This window comes from Homo sapiens, chromosome 2 (genome assembly GCF_000001405.40).
Source record: "Homo sapiens chromosome 2, GRCh38.p14 Primary Assembly".
NCBI classification, from domain to species: domain Eukaryota; kingdom Metazoa; phylum Chordata; class Mammalia; order Primates; family Hominidae; genus Homo; species Homo sapiens.
Window position 1 is genome coordinate 58,838,135 of NC_000002.12, and position 18,394 is coordinate 58,856,528.

The window sequence follows — 18,394 nt, forward strand, 5'->3', positions numbered from 1 at the left end:
GCATTTCCTTCCTTCCTTCCTTCCTTCCTTCCTTTCTTCCTTCCTTCCTTCCTTCCTTCCTTTCTTCCTTCCTTCCTTCCTTCCTCTCTTTGTCTCTTTCATTCCTTCCTTCCACTTCCTTTTTTCTTCTTTCTTGTGGGTATTAATGACTAGGAGAGAAGAGGGGTATATGTTTATTAGAATGTTATCATCTGCTGTACCGTTTCTGACTTTATCAGTCATTAAAAAGTGAAAGCACCACCTTTAGCCTTTCTATAGCCTCCGCTTTATTATATCTTCAATTTGGGAAACCTTTGTAGGAGCCAGATAGAAGACCAAATACTGCTTATTTGTAAAAGCAGCACATCACGGTGATCAAGAGACTGGCCGTAAGGTCTAAAAAGGCTGTGTTCAAATCCACACAAAATACTTTCTAGGACTCTGACACCAGGCAGGCTAATTAGTTTCTTTGAGGCTCAGTCCCTATCTGTTAAATAAGGTTAATAATTCTCACCTCAAAAGGTAGTTGAGATGATTAAATGATCTTTATATGCAGTATGAATGGCACATAAATAGTGCTCAAAAAACACTGAGGATATTTATCATTTTCTGTAATAGAACATGCTGGGCTATGTCATGAAATTTTATTCAGCCACCCACTCTGTCCACCTACTCTACATTACTTATGACAAACTGGTGTAGCACAGCTGACCAGGGATAAGGTTAAAACCATGTCCATGCATCAGCACAGACTTCACTCCCTGCTAACTTCAAACTTAGGCCCCAGATGCTATCACTTTAACATCTGGGTCTCACTGATCAACAGGCTATATCTATGCTTTTGACCTTTAGCTGGTTTTTCAAATGAAAAGCAGCAGAAGCAACATTTAGAATCATCATGACATGTTATAGTTTGAGAAGACACTAGAGATGATTAGCCCAATCATCTCTAGTTCTTTCTTCAAACATGTATTATCCAATAGGGTAGCCACTAATCACATGTGGATACTAAGCACTTGGAATATGACTAATCTGAATTGAAATGTGCCATAAGTGTAAAATATACACCAGATTTTGAAGTCTTGGTATGAAAAATAAATATAAAATATTAAATAATAATTTTGTATTAATTACATGTCAAAATGATAACATTTTGGATATGTTAGATTAAATAAGGTATTAAAATTAATTTTGCTTTCAATTTTTTTAATGTGTCTACTAGAAAATTTAAAATTACATATGGATTCACATTTGCATCTCACATTGTGTTTTTATTGGGCAGCACTGTTTCAAACAAAACAAATTAGGCATGGAAATGTGAAGTGACTTGCCCAAGATAGCTCAGCTTTCATCAGCAGAACACAGATGTGATTCCAGATCCCTTTGCTAACAGCGTTTCTCTCAACATGCAACCTTCTCCTGCTAAATATTTTTTTTTTTGAGACTGTAGAGTTGGGTCCCTGAAAACTGAAGTTTCTTTGGAAAACACTGCCAGCACCTCCTCTGTGACCAGCTGTGCTTTTTTTTCTTTTTCTTTTTTTTATTGCACTGCCTTGGAGACTGTGCTGCTGTTATCCATTTCTTGCGTCAGTTACAGAAATTGGTATTGTATCTAAAACAATTGCTGTTATTAACAGGTTAAGCTGCTGGGATGTTAAAATAAAGGCTGCCCAGCTTTAGTGCATTTTGTTGTAATCATCTCCCAGATGCCTTGTCGGAAATCAATTCAAGTTCAAAACTGGCTGGAATTGGGAGGTCAAGGCTTTGGCAGACTAAATATTTTATCTTCTGCTCATGTCTGGAGCTTTTAAAGATGTGGACCGGGGGCTGTTTTCTCATACCCCATCTGGACAAAGATGATTGGCTTTGCCATTTTGCCCAGGTTAGGACAAGGTTAAAATCAGTTATAATCAATTATTAAGAGTCTTCTGTGGCTGCATTGCTTAAAAGGGGATTTTAAAAGTTTCTCAGTTCTGAAACATGCATATCTTAGTTGCTACTGGAGATGTTGTTATTCTAGAATGTCAAATATAGATGTTATCAGCATCAAGAATAAATACGAAGAATTTCTACTTCCTATTTCCTTGATAACTATGTTTCAGGATAATGAGAAAAGCCTAGAAAGACTGAGATAATCATCATTCCTGCACCAAGTTGAAAAATTTTGTTACCTTCTTATATGTGTTAGACTATTGTAGCTATTTATTATTTGGTTACATTGTCAAATGATTTCTTAGGAATTTACTGAGATGCTCTCTGCAGTTATGTGATCATTTGCTGTGTAAATGCACATGTAACTCCTCAATCTAAGGTAGGTTCAAAGAATCATAGATTTGTAATTGCATAGTAATTTTGAGACAAGCTAGATACAGCCCTACATTTTATGATAAGGAAACTGAGGCTTGGATAATTTAAATGACTTCCCCTAATTCTTAAAGCTATCCAAAGGGAGAATTGTATCTCTTAGTTCCTAAAAGCATGTGTGGTCCCTAAACATTCAAAGGAATATTTTCATTTTATACAATATTTTCATACACTTATGATTTTCTTCACAATGATTTGAGAAAAAAAAGTATTCATACAAAATGAATATCATTCTGAACCTTAGACCAAGACATGAACTCAATAAACAGAATATAATTTTAAAGTGTTCTCAAAAGGTCACTTAGCTTTATCCTTCATCTCATTTCCCATGAATGGAAATCCCTTGTATTTTCAGGTTTAATACAGACCCAGTAGCTGAGGGTTCAAAATGCTGCCAGAAAAAACATTCCATTTTATTTACAGTCTGTTTAGAAGGAAAACTCCAGCAAATATACCATAATTTCTCTGTAGACATGTTCAGTACCAGTTATTGAATGGTGAGTGTGGACTATGTTCTTTGCTGGTATAGGAGGAGCCTGGCATTAACAAACACTGACATATTTTCATAGCAAGTTCCTCATCCTTGTAATATACTGAAAAACAACAAAACAAAAACTTGCTATTTCTAATTTGAGGGAAAAAACCTCATGGATTTATTGGGGGGCATACGATTGAATTTTAACACTTGCTCATCTCTCCATCAGCAAAATAAAGTCCCTTGTATTGCTTGCTTACTTTCCTCCAGCTCATGTTGGCAATAGAACTGAAGTATAATACATGTAAAGCATTTGAAGAAACTAAAATTAGAAGGTCACAGGTAGGGCCGTAGGAATCATACTCGTGTAGAAATCAATGCAACACTACATAGTGGTGGTGAGAACACAGCTTGGGCCCAGACAGACCTGGTTTTGTGTCTGATTCCATCCTCACTGGCTGTTTGGCCATAGACTGGTTACTTACCTTCTTTAGCTTCAAATTCTTCCTGTGAAAAATGGGGGTTTCAATTATGCTTACCTCATGGAGTTGTGTGAAGATTAAATGAGAAACTACCTGAAAAAGACTTATAAAGCTTGGTGTACAGTCAGCTTTCAATATATCTAAACTATAATGATGACAAATTATCACCGCTTATAATGGTAGCCTCAGTAGCAGCAGCCACAGTGGTAATATGTATATTCCTATTTCTAACATTGTATTATTTTCTTTGGGATCCATATGTACACATACAGGATAGAATTGCTTCAATGTCTGTTCAGATCAAAAGTTCTGGGTGAATTTTTTCACCTTGGTTTATTTCACAGCAACACAATTCATATGACTGAACCCTTCAAACCTTTCTCTGCTGAAAGAATGCGTTGTTCATTTGGATCATTGGTTCGATTCTAAGAACAGTTTATTCACTGCATGTGCACAGAAAACCCAATTCTGATATTCCAAGTGCTAATTAATTGGTAGAAATTTTTACTCTTTCTTTCTGCATTCAATCTAAGTTTGTAGCACATTGTATTAGAACAAGCTTTTAAAACCTTTGAAGCCCGCCCCGTGGGCAGCATGATGCCATGGTTAAAGGATATGTCAGGGTTACAGAGTAAGACGGACTAGGGAGTTTTGTCACTTACTGGCTGATCCTTAGCAACGTCCACTCACCGAACTGAGCCTCTGGTTCTTCATCTGTAAAGCAGAGAGGATAATACTTACTTCCTAATATCATTTTGGGTGTCAAAATTAATACAATGCAAGTAAAATTCTTAGCACAATGCCTGAGACATGACATGTTCTTCTTAAGTGGCAACTACTATTTAAATTTTTACGTTCTATATTTATACAAGTCATAAAATGTGGTATTTATTTCAGGGCAGTGAATAAACATTCAGATTATATCCATTCATTCATAATGTCAGTCCACAAATGCTGATTGATTGATAACTTATCTGTAGCAGATACTGTGCTACAGCTGCAGGAAAATGGTGAGCAATAGAAACGTTCTTAGAAAAGAAATAGTACAGCTCTGGGGGAGCGTGGCGAGAGAGAAAAACTAAACGAGTAATTTCAGTAAATTAATTATAGCATCATTGCTTATTAATTCCCATTGGACTTGGTAGCTACTTTGGCTTGTCTCACTGTAGCTAACAGCTCAGATCAGGCTCTGGAATCTCTGGATTTCAGGTACACATACTTTGCTTCCAAGTTATGCAGACCTTTGCCCTTTGTTTACATAGCTCCTTCATCCAAACATCTCAAGCACTTAAAATTGGCCCAGTAACTACCTAACTTACAAGGGAAACTAAAAATGTACTCTACCTGTTAGAGTGTTGACATAGTGGCAGATAAAGAAGCTCGAGAAAACTACCCTGTGTTTTCAAAGGTACCCAGTGATGTCCTGTCCTCTATTTTCCCTTGCCTGGGTATAGTTTCTTCTTAATTGGTTTTGCATCTGATAAGATGAACATTGAACATTTGCAGTATGTTTGTCGTCTGTTGCCAATTACAAGCTACTGATCTTCAGCAGGGCCTGCCATCTTTGCATTCAGCACAGCCTTCCCCCATTCTATTTGGATCTACTGGCTTAGTACCAGATATGGAAGCGTATGAAAAAGTAAAGGAGAATAAATAATCCTGTGTAGTTTTCTTGGAGCAAAAATGTTTCGGAGGAATGAGTACCCCAGAGGTCCCCTATTTCCTTTACCTTTGTGAAAGGAACACCCTATGCTTTAAATAATGATTCATGCAGTATGCACCACATCCAAAGAGTAAACGCAGAGATGAAAGCTTCTATTTATTCTGTACAGTGAAAATAGAAATCTGGAAACAGCATCTGCTTCTCATTTAAATGTATTTTTTTCTAATTATTTAGATGTATAGAGGCATCAAGCCAGGTTTCAATCAACAAGAAAGGTCTTGTGCTATCTAAACAAAATCTTATGCCTGAAGCCACTGGTCATAACACTTAAAATGGCTTAAAGACCTCAACAGGGCTTTTTATGCAAAGTAGTTGTATAGCATGGGTCATGAACAAATATGTTATTTTTGCTTAAAATGTAATCTGAATGTATGGAGAAATATTGCTAGAAATATATTTCCTGATCCCTAAAAATAGCAGGTAATTAACCTTGGCTCAGAGTCACCTTACCTTTTGAAGAATAAATCCTGGAATCATGACTTTTGTGTCTTGTTTTTAGTGGAGAAGAAAAAAGACTAGAGCTATGGATGATTTGATTATATGGATTAGTTATTAGGAGCATTTAAAAGAATGCAATTTTTCAAATATCAACTTATATAATTATGGCTCCCCCAATTCCACGACTCATAAAATAGGAGATTCATATAAAGAAACTCTGGTTTTCAGAAACTCTGAAACTATTCACAATTACCCATAGGTGAATAAATATACCATAAAATTTAGAAGAAAAAGGAATCAGACATTTTGACGAAAAGGGTCCTGAGAACCAACAAGCCTTTTTAACATCTGGATGTGGGAGCCCAGCCCGTGTGGTAGACCTGCAACTTCCAGAGAGGTTTGCTCTGCACAGATGATCCCACAGTAACGATGAAGATAGAAGCAAAGGAGTGTTTGAATGAGGACAAGAGACGGCTGGCCCAAATTGGTTTAGAAATGGTATTTGCAAGGCACTGTTAGAAAATGAAGCTACCCCTTCATTTTGGGTTAACCCCTTCTGTTTACCCCTTCCCTCCATGAAGACAAGGCTTTTAGTATTTTTTTTTTTACTTTTTTTTTTCTATTCTTAGGTACACTTAGAACTGTTTCTATGTACAGTTCTAAGCTCAGATTGACTTAAGAGAAGTTGATCTCCTGTCCCCTAATTATTCTCCATGTCAACTTCTGGCTGATTAGAACTAGAGGCTGAAAGGATGTTGATTTGGGGGAAAACTGTATTTTCTGTTATTTTTCAGATAATTTTTAGTCTGCTCTGTAGATGTAAATTGAAAATATTTTTTTTTCCTTTTTAAACTTTCTCTCTCTTTCTCTCTCTCTCTCTCCGGCTTGCCTACCATACCTATTTTAGTCTTATTTTACTAGCTCTCCAACCTACTGCACTCATGACCTTCTCTGATATATGATAATTGAATTTAGGGCAAGAGTTTACATTTTTATATACTTTTTTTATGATTTATAACCTGCCTAATTTCGAAAAGGATTTGAGGCAGCAAGAGTAAATGGCACTGGGAGTTACATGGATATTTTTACCCTGCATTTGGCCCATTTTCTTTTAGGCTGCATACATTTCCATAACTCTGAACAAGGATCATGTTTGGATGACCTTTTGTCCAGGGTAGAATTCACAGATTTGCAGTAGGTAGGAAATGAATACCTCAGTATTTACAAAATCACCAGAGGCACATTTGAATGAATTAAATATTTCTACTATTCCAGTTTTGGTAATGGTACTAATTATATTGTTTGGTACTTAAGAAATGTTTCCTCTTCTGGAGGGGAAAGAGGTGGGGAAGATTTAAAGTACCTCTTGGATTGCTGTGTGACTTTGGGAAAATCACTGATTACTCTGAGTTCACCATTCCATGTCTGTTAAATGGGGATAATAAACCAACAGCATGTTTATTATGAGGTCATTGTGAGGATCAAATGAGATAATGTACCTGTAAAAGCTTAGAAAACAATAAGTCACTATGTATTATGCAGTCAGTGTGGGCGAATGCTTTATTTACTTCCGTCTCAGCCTCATACAGTGAGCCTTATACAGTGAGAGAGACCAGGCCCTAGCTCTTCCGGATGCTCTAGGAAAAGTGCTTCATTGTGTTTGGGCTTTATTTATTGAATGCATTTGAATGAGTGATCATTCTAAGAGCAGAAAGTCATTCAATTTGATTTCACAATAGGGTGATGGGTGAGCCTGGAAACTACATTCTCAAATGCATTATCCCCAAACACAGGAAACAAAACCACTTTTTAAAAGTGACTCGTCTTTAATATCTCATAGCAGTTTTGAAATACTTCATTCATTCATTTTTATAGCAAACTCTTAATTGAGAATGTCATTAACCACTTTGCAGAGAGAGGCAATCATGACCTGAAAAATTAAGTGGAGTGATTTACAAATAGGCTTTTGTTTCGCTAGGTTTTTGCTTATTCAGGACTTGCCTTTAGATTATTTTAGCAACATATGCTCCCCTTTCCCCACCCCATTGGCAGTATGTATTTTGGGTGTCTGATACATACTGAAAATGAAGAACAGTTTTCGTATGTTGCTTTTTCCTGGTCCACATTGGAGAGTCCTTCTGACCCTTTTATTCTCAAAATCAAACACTATCATTTTCCTTCTTCAGAACATTTTATCTTCTCACCTTACTGTGTGTCAAAATTTCTTCCCATGTGGGCCAGACAAGTATGTTATGAATGAATGAACATTGGGTCCACTTCCAGCTTTTCTCTGTGAAACCAACTTTGACTGAAGTCCACAGTGAATTTCCTCTCTTAATTTCCTTACAATTCATAGTCTCAATAATTTAGCCCTTTAAAAAATATATTCCCTTTCCCTTCTTTTAAAAATATTTTGTCCCTTCTCCTCCCTGCCCTGACTGTATTAGAAGCTATCTGCAGAGGGCTGACTTCTAAGTCAGATAAACTAGAATGAAAGTACTGCCATTTACTAGTTGTGGCATCTGAGGCACCTGGGGATGATAATAATAATAATTACTTTATAGGGTTGTTGAAGGGGGTAAAAGAGGTAGGTTATATGAAGCATAAAACATATTATATGGGCTCATTAAATTCTTGTTCTGAGATTAATTTACTGATTCTTTTCTAAGGAAAGCTTTCTTTTTAAGGAGTGGAGGGAGAGAAAGACCTCTCCTTTTTTAAAACCAAGGACACATGTCCCCAGTTTTTGTCCCCCAAACTTATGGCCCCTTAAACTATTGAAGATTTTGTGAACTTTCATTTAATTTCATTCTTGAAGCTTAGTCAATTGTTTATTGCTTTCAGATCATTTTACTTAACAGACATTAATTGAGCTCCTATTATGTGTCAAATACTGTACTTGACACAATGAAGAAAATTTCTATTAACTTCTAAAATCCCTGTCTGCAGATCTGTGAAATAATTTTTTATACCATGGATTCATACAGTGTTCTTCCTTTCCCCATGTTCCCTATATGCCATCTTAAAAATTAAACTTGGGCAAGGGAAGAAAATATCTATGGAGAGAACCCAGTGGATTATAGCATTCAAAGTTACTTTCAACAGGCTGAACACCTAGGATACTGTTTGGGCAAGGTATGAGCCATGCCCAACTCATGTCATCCTATAGCTATCATGCTTACATTAACACATTGTTGTATACAAGTAACTATGCCTTACATCACATCATTTGATCCCCTTTGTCTTTATTATTAATAGATGTAGATCCACCACTTTAACTCATAGTCACCATAGTTTACCCCATTTTAAGTTTGTACATGCAATCCATTTAGCCATAAAACACATTATTCCAAAAGCAATATTTAGCTAGTCTAACAGTATTAACAGTCTACCACCAAAAATTCCTGACAAATTTGTTATTGTACAGGTCAGAGCATTCATAGTTTCTAACTAGGATAAAGCAGCTTACTTAGATTTACAAGACAAAAACAAAGCTGAAACAATTTTGCCTTGATGATACCAAAAACTCAGTAATTGCTTTTCTCTTCCCACTTGTAGTAATGGATAGCAAACGGATTATTATTGACATTGGTAGTTTCATCAAATTTTCAAATTGGGAGATACCAGCTAGTCACTTGTTCTTCAAATTGTGGTTTATGAGCCTGCAGCATTGGCATAACATAGGAGCTTGTTTGGAATGCAGAATCTCAGGCCCGCCCTAGAGCAACTGAATCAAGATCTGTATCTTCACAAAATACCCAGGTGATTTTTACACTCTTTAAATTTTTTGAAGCGCCATTCTAATCCACCTTCATCTCTGTCCTCCTTTAAGAAATGAGAAAGTTCACACTCAGAGTTAGTGTAGAGCTAAGATTAGAACCTCAGCCCCCTGACTCCAAGGTTACTGCTCTCTTCTGTGCTCAGAGCAACCTCAATAGCTTCTGAGTACAGTGTGGAAGTGAGTGACCCTTGCCCACCACTTGATGTTTGGTGGTCTAGTAAAGTAGACTGCAAGATTAGAGAATCACCTTCTCTTTAACCTCCATTCCTTTTCTGTGAGAAACTATTTGGCTTATCACCCCCTATGGCCTAAATCCTCCCAAAGAAGAGTGAAGCTTTAATGAGGCTAGAACCCTCTTATTGTCTTGAATTTTAGATGTTTGTCAGCATCTATGATAGGAATTCTTTCCCTAACTCACAGTTCATGGTTGTATAGTGCATCTCCATTCATACGAGGAGGATAGAAAAAGCTGAGCCAAACCCTGTTAACAAAACAGTCCCCCGAAGGGCTATAATATTGCTCAGTGGTAATATCATCCCTATGCATTTTATCTTATACATGAAATCTTGACTAATTATCATTTTCTCATACAGTACATTTTAGACCATTGTGTTTTTGTGTCCCTGCCTAGTTCATTAAGCAGGGTTTTACGGCTCCTCCAGTAACAGAATCGCTATTGACACTTTCATTAGACCCATAATTCAAATGCTTGTCTGCCTTCCAAATGGAAGCCTCTGAGTCCAGAACCACAATCTGGCCACCAACCGTATGTTGGCTTTTAGAACTGTCATAAACTCATCATCACATTCAAGTTCTTGAAGGGTCAAAATCTGCTTTCTTGGTGAACTGTCTTCATCCAACAAACAGTCAACGTGTTCTCCAGGAATAGTCAGCCAATTTTTCTCTGTCGCTCTCTGAAAACTCTTCCAGACAGTTCTCAGTGTGGTATGACTATAGCACAAATAATCAGTGTCCACATTTAAATATTAATTCTCTTATTTATTCATTCATTCAATTATTTTTACAATTTAAGACCAATATACCAAATATTATGGCAGTTGCTGTAGTGATTTAAAGATGAATAAGATGGTGTCTGCCTTGGAGTTTCTTATCGTCAGAAGATATGTATATAAATCACTATGTGAAAAATTTTACTTCTAAGTTGCCAACAGTTGGAACGGCGGTGATTGTAGATTTCTTTGCTCTAACTAATGGCTATTATCAACACTGGTTCTTTACCAGTGGTTCAAATGGAAATAGACTCGACTAGACTAAGTAGAACTATATATATATGAAATATATCACAGAATATAACCTTAGGAGCAAATGGAGCCAATTCCCCAGTGATACAGCTGATGGGCATTAGAGAGAAGGTGGGATCAGATCAGAGACAGCAGTTGCTTTAGTGATCACAAAAAACAGTCTTTCATTATCAGTAGGATTTTGATTTTCTCTCTAAAAATGTTCAAGAAGAAGTTCAGTGAAAATATTTGATTTAGTTTACAATAAACTTTTTAGAGGTGCCTCCTAGACATCAAAAATTTTTGCTTTTGGCTGAGCACAGTGGCTCATACCTGTAATCCCAGCACTTTGGGAGGATGAGGTGTGTGGATCAATTGAAGTCGGGAGTTCGAGACCAGCCCGGCCAACATGGCAAAATCCCATTTCTACTAAAAATACAAAAACTAGTTGGGGGTAGTGGCACATGTCTGTAATCCCAGCTACTGGTGCGGCTGAGGCAGGAGAATCGCTTGAACCCAAGAAGCAGAGGTTGCAGTGAGCCAAGATTGTGTCACTGCACTCCAGCCTGGGCAATAGAGCAAGACTCTGCCTCAAAATAAATAAATAAATTATACTTTTAATTTTTGCAGAAGTAAATATCTTGAGCAGGAAGTCTGAGCAGATTATATACCATCAGTGTGAAAGAGAAGATTTTCACCTTTACAGAAGACTTTTAGCGATTTAATTAAACAGAAAATTGTAGATCATATTTTTAAATGTACAATTAGATATGTTTGGTTTAAACGACTGCTGACTGGGTACTGTGGTTTTGCTTTCTGTCCAATTAGATCAGAGAGAAAAAAAATTGTTTTTGGGTCCTTTCATCTTCCTTACATCTATGCCTAAAAAAAAAAAAAAAAAGAAAGAGAGAGGAAAAAATGGAAAAGACAAAAGTATAGGCTGGTGCCATTTATTCAAGTCTTTTCATAGGTTTTGACTTTACCTGAGCACACACATTGGATTACCTACCTCATTAGCTTTCTTCCAACCAAACCCAGAGCCTCTTTCCTGAAGTGGAAAGGTCCTTTTCTAGAGTGGACTCAGACTGTTAAGCAGAGGAAGTGTGTGAGGCTGGACTCCACTGCTCGTTGGAGTAATGTGGCTTCGTTTTGCAGTAATATTGCTGTGCTATTGAAAAATGACTTCAGTATTCTTCTCAGTGCATTTCATTCTACCACATGCACTTTCATAAACATGTCCAATCACGTGATGGAGGTCAACAACAGTGTGGGGTTTAGAAATTGTTGCTTGGAAATCACACTCACTTAAATACCTGAATCTGTTCATCAGCCATGCCATAGCTTATTCCAAGCCTGTGCAGAAGAGTGATTTGCAATCGCCTTGCTTTTCATTTCAAGTAGCATCACTCACTTTAAGCCAGATATTCAGGCCTCTTCAGAAGCCTCCAGGGTGAAGGACAAGTAAGAAGAAGCTTATTGAATCTTTCACAACTGTGGCCAGCTACATCTACTCCTGCATCAAACTCAGTACATCTTTCTTTGGTGTTTTATTTCAAAATCACTTATTCTTCCTTTTACGTGACAAATAATAGAGATTTTGCCACACAGTTTCAGGATCCAGATGGCTCTTTTGTGGTTCTATACATTTAATTGATCACTATCCAGGTTGAAGTCTGAGCCAGAGTGTCTGGGATGGAAGAAGAGGACATAATGTTTATTTTTGCCAATCCTTCTTTGAGTTATCTTCTCTCATCGTCTATAAACTCAGGTTGCATAACTACATTCTGTTTTTTTTTTCTTTTTCACTTACAGGGACTTACCAATTTGGGATTCTTCCAGGAGCTGAAAACTGATTGCAAATATGAAACAGATTTCACTACAGGACTTGAACCCTACATTAAAAAACAACAAGCTCCCCAAAATAATTGAAAAAGATCTTCACCAAAGAGTAGCTGCAATGTGAATGGCAGGATATGAAGCAAGTAAGAGGTAAATTTTGTATGAAAACATCTTTTCTTTATGGCCAGATATATAGAAAATATTCATATGGCCTTAAGGTAACATTCTTTCTCAGGCAAAGGTCAGAGGACAGAGGATCTTTTATATAATCAGCAAAAAAAAAAAAAAAAACAAAAAACAAAAAAACTGAATGATCCGGCCTATTCTGGGCCTGTCTGTCTAGCTATCAATTATAGAAATATTGCAGAATGCCAGATTCTTTCTAAAAACATTATTTCGGAGGAGTGGGCTTGCTTAGTAAAGGAAACATCCTCCACAAAAAGCATCCGTGGGAACATTTGATAATTTATTATGCTTCAGAAATTCTGGTGCACCATCTTGAAAACCTACCTCCTGATTACAAAGGATCAAATAAGGAGCAAAAGGCAATAAAGCCTTTAAATCCTTTTTATCTTGATGTTTGAGGAAAAAATATAAAGAAAGTGGATTGGGCTTCCCAGAATATAAAAAGATCATCTGGAGTAGGTACTTGCCATCTTAGCTTTTTTCAGTAAGAAAAGAGGGAAAAATGAATATGTACATGTGTGTGTGTTTATACATACACATATACACATACATTGTGTGCGTATATATATATTTACACCTGCAGTTAATATCTCAGTCTCAGTTGTTTCTCTCTTCTGGCCTATTAAATAATTTCTGGCTTCATCTTTTCTGTCCTGCCTGGAAGGGCCTATGAGTTGCCAGATTCATTCTGGGGCTTGTATGAAGCAGAATCTGAAGAATTGGGAAAGAATAGAAGGAACAAAAGCCATGGTGTCCTACTCTCATGAGGAAAGCAGTGAGTTTGGAATATAGCAATGAAAGGCATTCAATCCTCCAGAATAAAAAGGCAGAATGGGGGTTGGGTGGCTAATACCCGAGGTGTAAGTGTGGAGAGACTCCAGTGAGTGAGGATGTGGCATGAGAATTCTAGGAGATGGTGGGAGTGATTTGGGGAGAGATGATGGAGTTTGAACAGTCAACATGTGAGCTCACAGAATGAGCTATTCAGAAAAGCAGGGTATTAGAAAATGAGAGATGATGGGAGGTATTAATAGTAATTGCCATGGACTGTATTTTTGGCTTTCCTTTATTTCTTCGATGAATGAGTAAGGGATAGAATCCCCCAATTTTCAATGAAATGTCACTTCAGGTCTGAACACATGGGTGCAGCCTTTGATAAGGTTTCACCCACAAAGCAAATATCTCACTGGGTACTCTGGCAATGGGATTCTTTTTAAAAGAAATCATAGCGTCTTCTCAATGCCCAAGCCTCTGCTTGACCACTGGTTTTCCAGTTCTCTTCATATGGCCTAGTTTTATAAAGTACAGAGCTGAGAAGGAGCTGCCCTCAGCTTTAGCCTTGGAGGAATCACAAACTAGTTGCAGGACCCCAAGTCACTCATCTAAAGTAATGACGTGCACTAATTAGGGATATGGGACTAGGGAGTCACAGATTTTGCACAGGTTATTTAACCTTCTTCAGGCATTGTTTCTTGTATCTATACAGTTGAGACATTAGAAGAATCTCCCTTGTGGGTTTTTTTTTTAATTAAATGCTGTATGCAACGCTTCACAGTACTAAGCTCAACCAATATTAGCCACCATGGTTACAGCTGCTAGGATTATTATTGGTGGTGGCAGCGTTGTTAATCCCTGGCCCTCAGTTTCCTCATCTTTAAAATGAAAGGATAAGATAAAACTTCCTCTCTGCTCCCTTCCAGCTCTAAAAATACTTTCCATAATTCCTGAGTTTAGGAACACCTCCCACAAGAAACAGGCAACGGGCCACGAGACAACTCGTTTTCACCCTAAGTCTCTTACAAATATTCAGGTTATTTTAAAACGCCACTCCCTGGAGAGGGCCCAAGATTTCATTTAACATGAGCTTTGCCAACTTCAGTATCTTGCTCAGTACTACTTGCATACTTGTATTACTGAATAAGAAAAAGGGTTGGATTTTTTTTTCTCTTTCCATCTATCACTGAACCTACTTGAACTACTTTCAATTTATCCTGTAGGTATGGGACACTAGTTAGTAGTTCTGCCATTTACAAAAAAAAAAGATATTCTCAAAAGTATATTTTCCTTTTCCTTTTTTTCCTCCACCCTCTTTTTCCTCTTTTTTTTAAAAGAAGATATTAAAATCCTAGTTCTTCTGTGAGAGGAAACAGACCATCTCTTTCAAAGACTTTTAGGCTATATCTGCTCTTTCCTTGATTTGCTTGGTAGCATCTCGGCCACAGGAATACAATACTGATAGAGTTGTTGATTGGTCCTAGAATATATCACAGTCCCTAAATACATGAAATTAAAAAAAGAAAAAAGAAATCAACATGGTTCTGAAAGGAAGGTAGTTAAAATTCAGAAAGAGAGATTCTTTAATTAACTTAATAAAATTACTAATGGAAGCATTTTAACTGCTAAATTTAATTTACTTGTCAAGATATCAGGCTACAAAGAGGAGGGAAGAGTAGGAACTCTGCTTCCCATTATGATGTTCTCTATTATAGAATAAATTTGCTTAAAATGAAATATATCACCAGAAGCCATCAATGACATCTTAATTTGGAACAGCCAGTTGAAAAGTAATTAGACTATGAAGCAATCAGTTCTAGTAAATCAGTGTTTCCCTTTACATAAACATACATTTTTTTCCTATTTATATACAGGCAAGACTAGACTTTCAGGTAGTAGGCAAGCAAAGAAGCGGATTCTTTTGGCTGTCGGTGTTTCTACTTTACATTACCAAGCTGTCAAAACAAAATGTTTTATGATAGGATTAAAAAATGTATAAGCATCTGATTTGATTTAGTGTTTATATTTATATGTTGAACTGAGGAGAGTTTGCTTATCATAGGGGTTTAAAAGATTTACATTTGTCTGCTTCTTACTTCCAAAATGCTTTCCAGATCCACAGGCAGCCCTGACACCTTACTTCAATGAATGAAGCCCAGTCAAAAATCAAACAAGAGCTCTGCTTCTCCCTGCAGGGCCTCTCCTAACTTACATAAATAAACGGAGAGAATGTGGTTGCTAATGAGACATGGTTTGAGACTGAGGTGGGAGTGGTTAAAATTATCCTTTGGTTTAGCAACTGAAAATTCACCATTAGGAATTTCTCACATTGTAACTGACCTTCCTAAAAGTGTGTTTGTTTGTTTATTGTTATGAACAGCTAATACGGGACATGGGTAAAACAGAAATAATGCATATTTAATTTGATTATGAAAAGTTAGCACAATTTGGCAAAGAGATATCAAAAATTCAAGTATCAAACTACTTTATAGTAGGAAACACTTTCTGTATATATCTTTTCTGATCACCTTAGTACCCCATGAAGAAGATGTTTTCAACTTCAATTTACAGACATGGAAATCGAGGCCCAGAGAGGTTAAGTGTTTTGTGCAGGCAGTGGAGGTAGTTAATGGAAGAACTCGGGCTAGAATTAGGGCTTCTGGGCCCCTGATACTCTCCACAACATCTGCTTCTGATGATGGAATCCCATCTGTTATATGCTGAGGGGAAGAGGTGTGAGAAAAATAACTAGAGGAGCTATCAATCACTCAGCAAAATATTTATGAAGGACATCATTCAGATATTAGGGGTGTCACCATTGTCACCAGCTCTGAAAAATCAGAGAGGATGATGAATTATGCCAAAGAGAACATTAGCTCAGAAGGTAGAGAATATCTTGCAATGACATGCTTATGTTAGTATGTATTATTTCCAGTGGGAGAGAATGGTATGAGAGAGGAAAATAAAGGATAATTTTATAGGGAGTGAAAATAAGCTACACCTTGTGATTAAGAGAGAAATGTGGGAAGTCTCTGAAACCTGGTTCTAGGATCTGCCAGCATGCAAATCACTTAACAGTATGCAAATTACCTGGGCCTAATAGAGTAAATCATGTCCATCCTGCCCGCGGCCTATTTAGAAATGTGATCATTGATAATGATACTACAAAGTACTATTCCTCACTGGAAGACAAGAGATTGGAAGGAAATCTGATATGGATGATGCAAGGGGAGTAAGTATTAAGATTTGCAATTGTAGATAGGTGTGAAGTAGGCTAAAACAATACAATTAAAGTGTAAATTTTAATTACACTTTAGTGTAATTAAAGTGTAAAGTAAAATTAAAGTGTAAATTGCACTGGCCAAGTGAGAGAACTGGGCAGAACACAGGGACTGCAGGACCCTTCTGCCTCTGGGAATCTAGTAAAAAGACAGTCTGTTATCCGCAGTGGCTCCTCAAGATCTGTGTGTAACAGGACAATTGCCTGAGAGTGGAGATGGCAAGAACTATATAAAAATAGACAGAACAACTTAAAGTTACTAAGGAAAAGATAAGGAGTGCAAAAGTGGAAAATGAGATATTGCTAGTAAAAGAGGTTAAATGGAGTAAGGAGATCTTTTATAAATGTATCGGGGGAAAAAGTGATCCTCGAGAAAAAGACTACTGAATAAATAAGAGAAGGGTGTCAAATTAATGATGGCTGAGATATTGACTTCCTGCTTTAAGTCAGTTTTTAAGAGAAAAATGAGAAGAAAATTTGGACACCTGGAGGGCAATAATGTCTTTTAAAAATAAGTATTGACAAAGAGGATGGGAGGAAATTTAGAAAAAAATTAAACTTTGTGGCATATACAGATGGTAAGTTTCAAATAATATGCTTCCTAGGGAATTAGATTCCCTGCCTGTGAACAATACACAGACATGGAAGAAGGACAATACAAACTAGAGAGATGTCGGAAGCTCGTCAAAACAAATGTGTTTCATATAACAGTAAAATAAGGGTTGGGGCAGATTGGGAAGGCAGACATAGGACAGGCTCTCTAAGTGTTGTGTAAATTTGTGGCATATTTAGTCATGGCTATGTGGCAATTGCAATTTTAGAAAATTAGTGAAAACTTTCTTCTTGTATTCAGTGAGAAAGGAAATAAATCGGATACCCCATACAACTAAAATGTATTGTAGATACTCTAAAAGTACAAGAGAGAGTTACTGTTTTATGGGGAAAAGTAAAACAATGATGCAGTCCTTAAATATTACATAAGCATTGAAATATTGATTTAAATAGCTACGTAAAATTGGAAAATTCAGAGCACGGTGGAAAAAACATCACCCTAAAGAAAATTTCAGATCCTAATAAAATTTCCAGACTAAATTATCAAAATCCAACCAATTAATAGGAAGCTACTAATTGTTTGGGAATAATCATTTAGGGAAACTTTTGTTGACATTAGGCAATATATTTCTGTGGGATAAAGATGCAAGTGTAAGCGTCAGAATTTGACAGAGAGAATAGTTTATTGGCAGTGAATTCTTAAGATAGTGTCTTAGAATATTTGCCCCTGAACATTTTCGTCAACATTCCTACCCGATAGGCTATCTTAGTTGACAGAGTGTAGTTAGTGGAGCTCAGTGGCTTCTTGGTTTCTCTGACTTTTGGTGTTCTCTTTTCTTCTCACAAGGTCCTCTTCAATAACTAAAATCATCTGAGATTTGTGGTATACCACTCCGTTGACACACTGGTCCTATGCTCTGCAAGGAACCTACAGCTCCTGCCCTGGACCAGCTTATAGTCAATCATAAGTCAAACCCGCATTTGCGGTTCCTTGCTAGTTGAGTGCCCCAGGCACAATGAGGGAAGAATATAAAAGGATGAAGTTCTAGGGAAAGACAGGTGGCAGAGGTGAGACTCAGCCTCCTCCCTGAAGAATGTGTGGAATTTAGACACACAGAACAAAGTGAGGAGAGAGCAGTTCATCAGTCCGAAAGTCTACAAGCAGAGAAGTGCATCTGCACAAGGGGACGGTGATTCGATCTTTTCTGTTGGAGCAGACCCTTAGAAGGTAGCAGGGTGCAACTGTGATGTGGTAGGGCTGTTTGGGGAACTGAAGACGT

The 18,394-nt window shown here is 37.1% G+C and overlaps 1 long non-coding RNA gene across 1 annotated transcript in view; it reads left to right on the forward strand.

Moving 5' to 3' along the window:
* LINC01122 (long intergenic non-protein coding RNA 1122) overlaps positions 1 to 18,394 on the forward strand; it is a 543,014-nt gene that overhangs the window by 317,382 nt on the left and 207,238 nt on the right. The window contains exon 3 of the long non-coding RNA NR_033873.1: positions 12,296 to 12,472. This is a non-coding gene — a long non-coding RNA (long intergenic non-protein coding RNA 1122). The remainder of the gene's footprint in view (positions 1 to 12,295; positions 12,473 to 18,394) is intronic.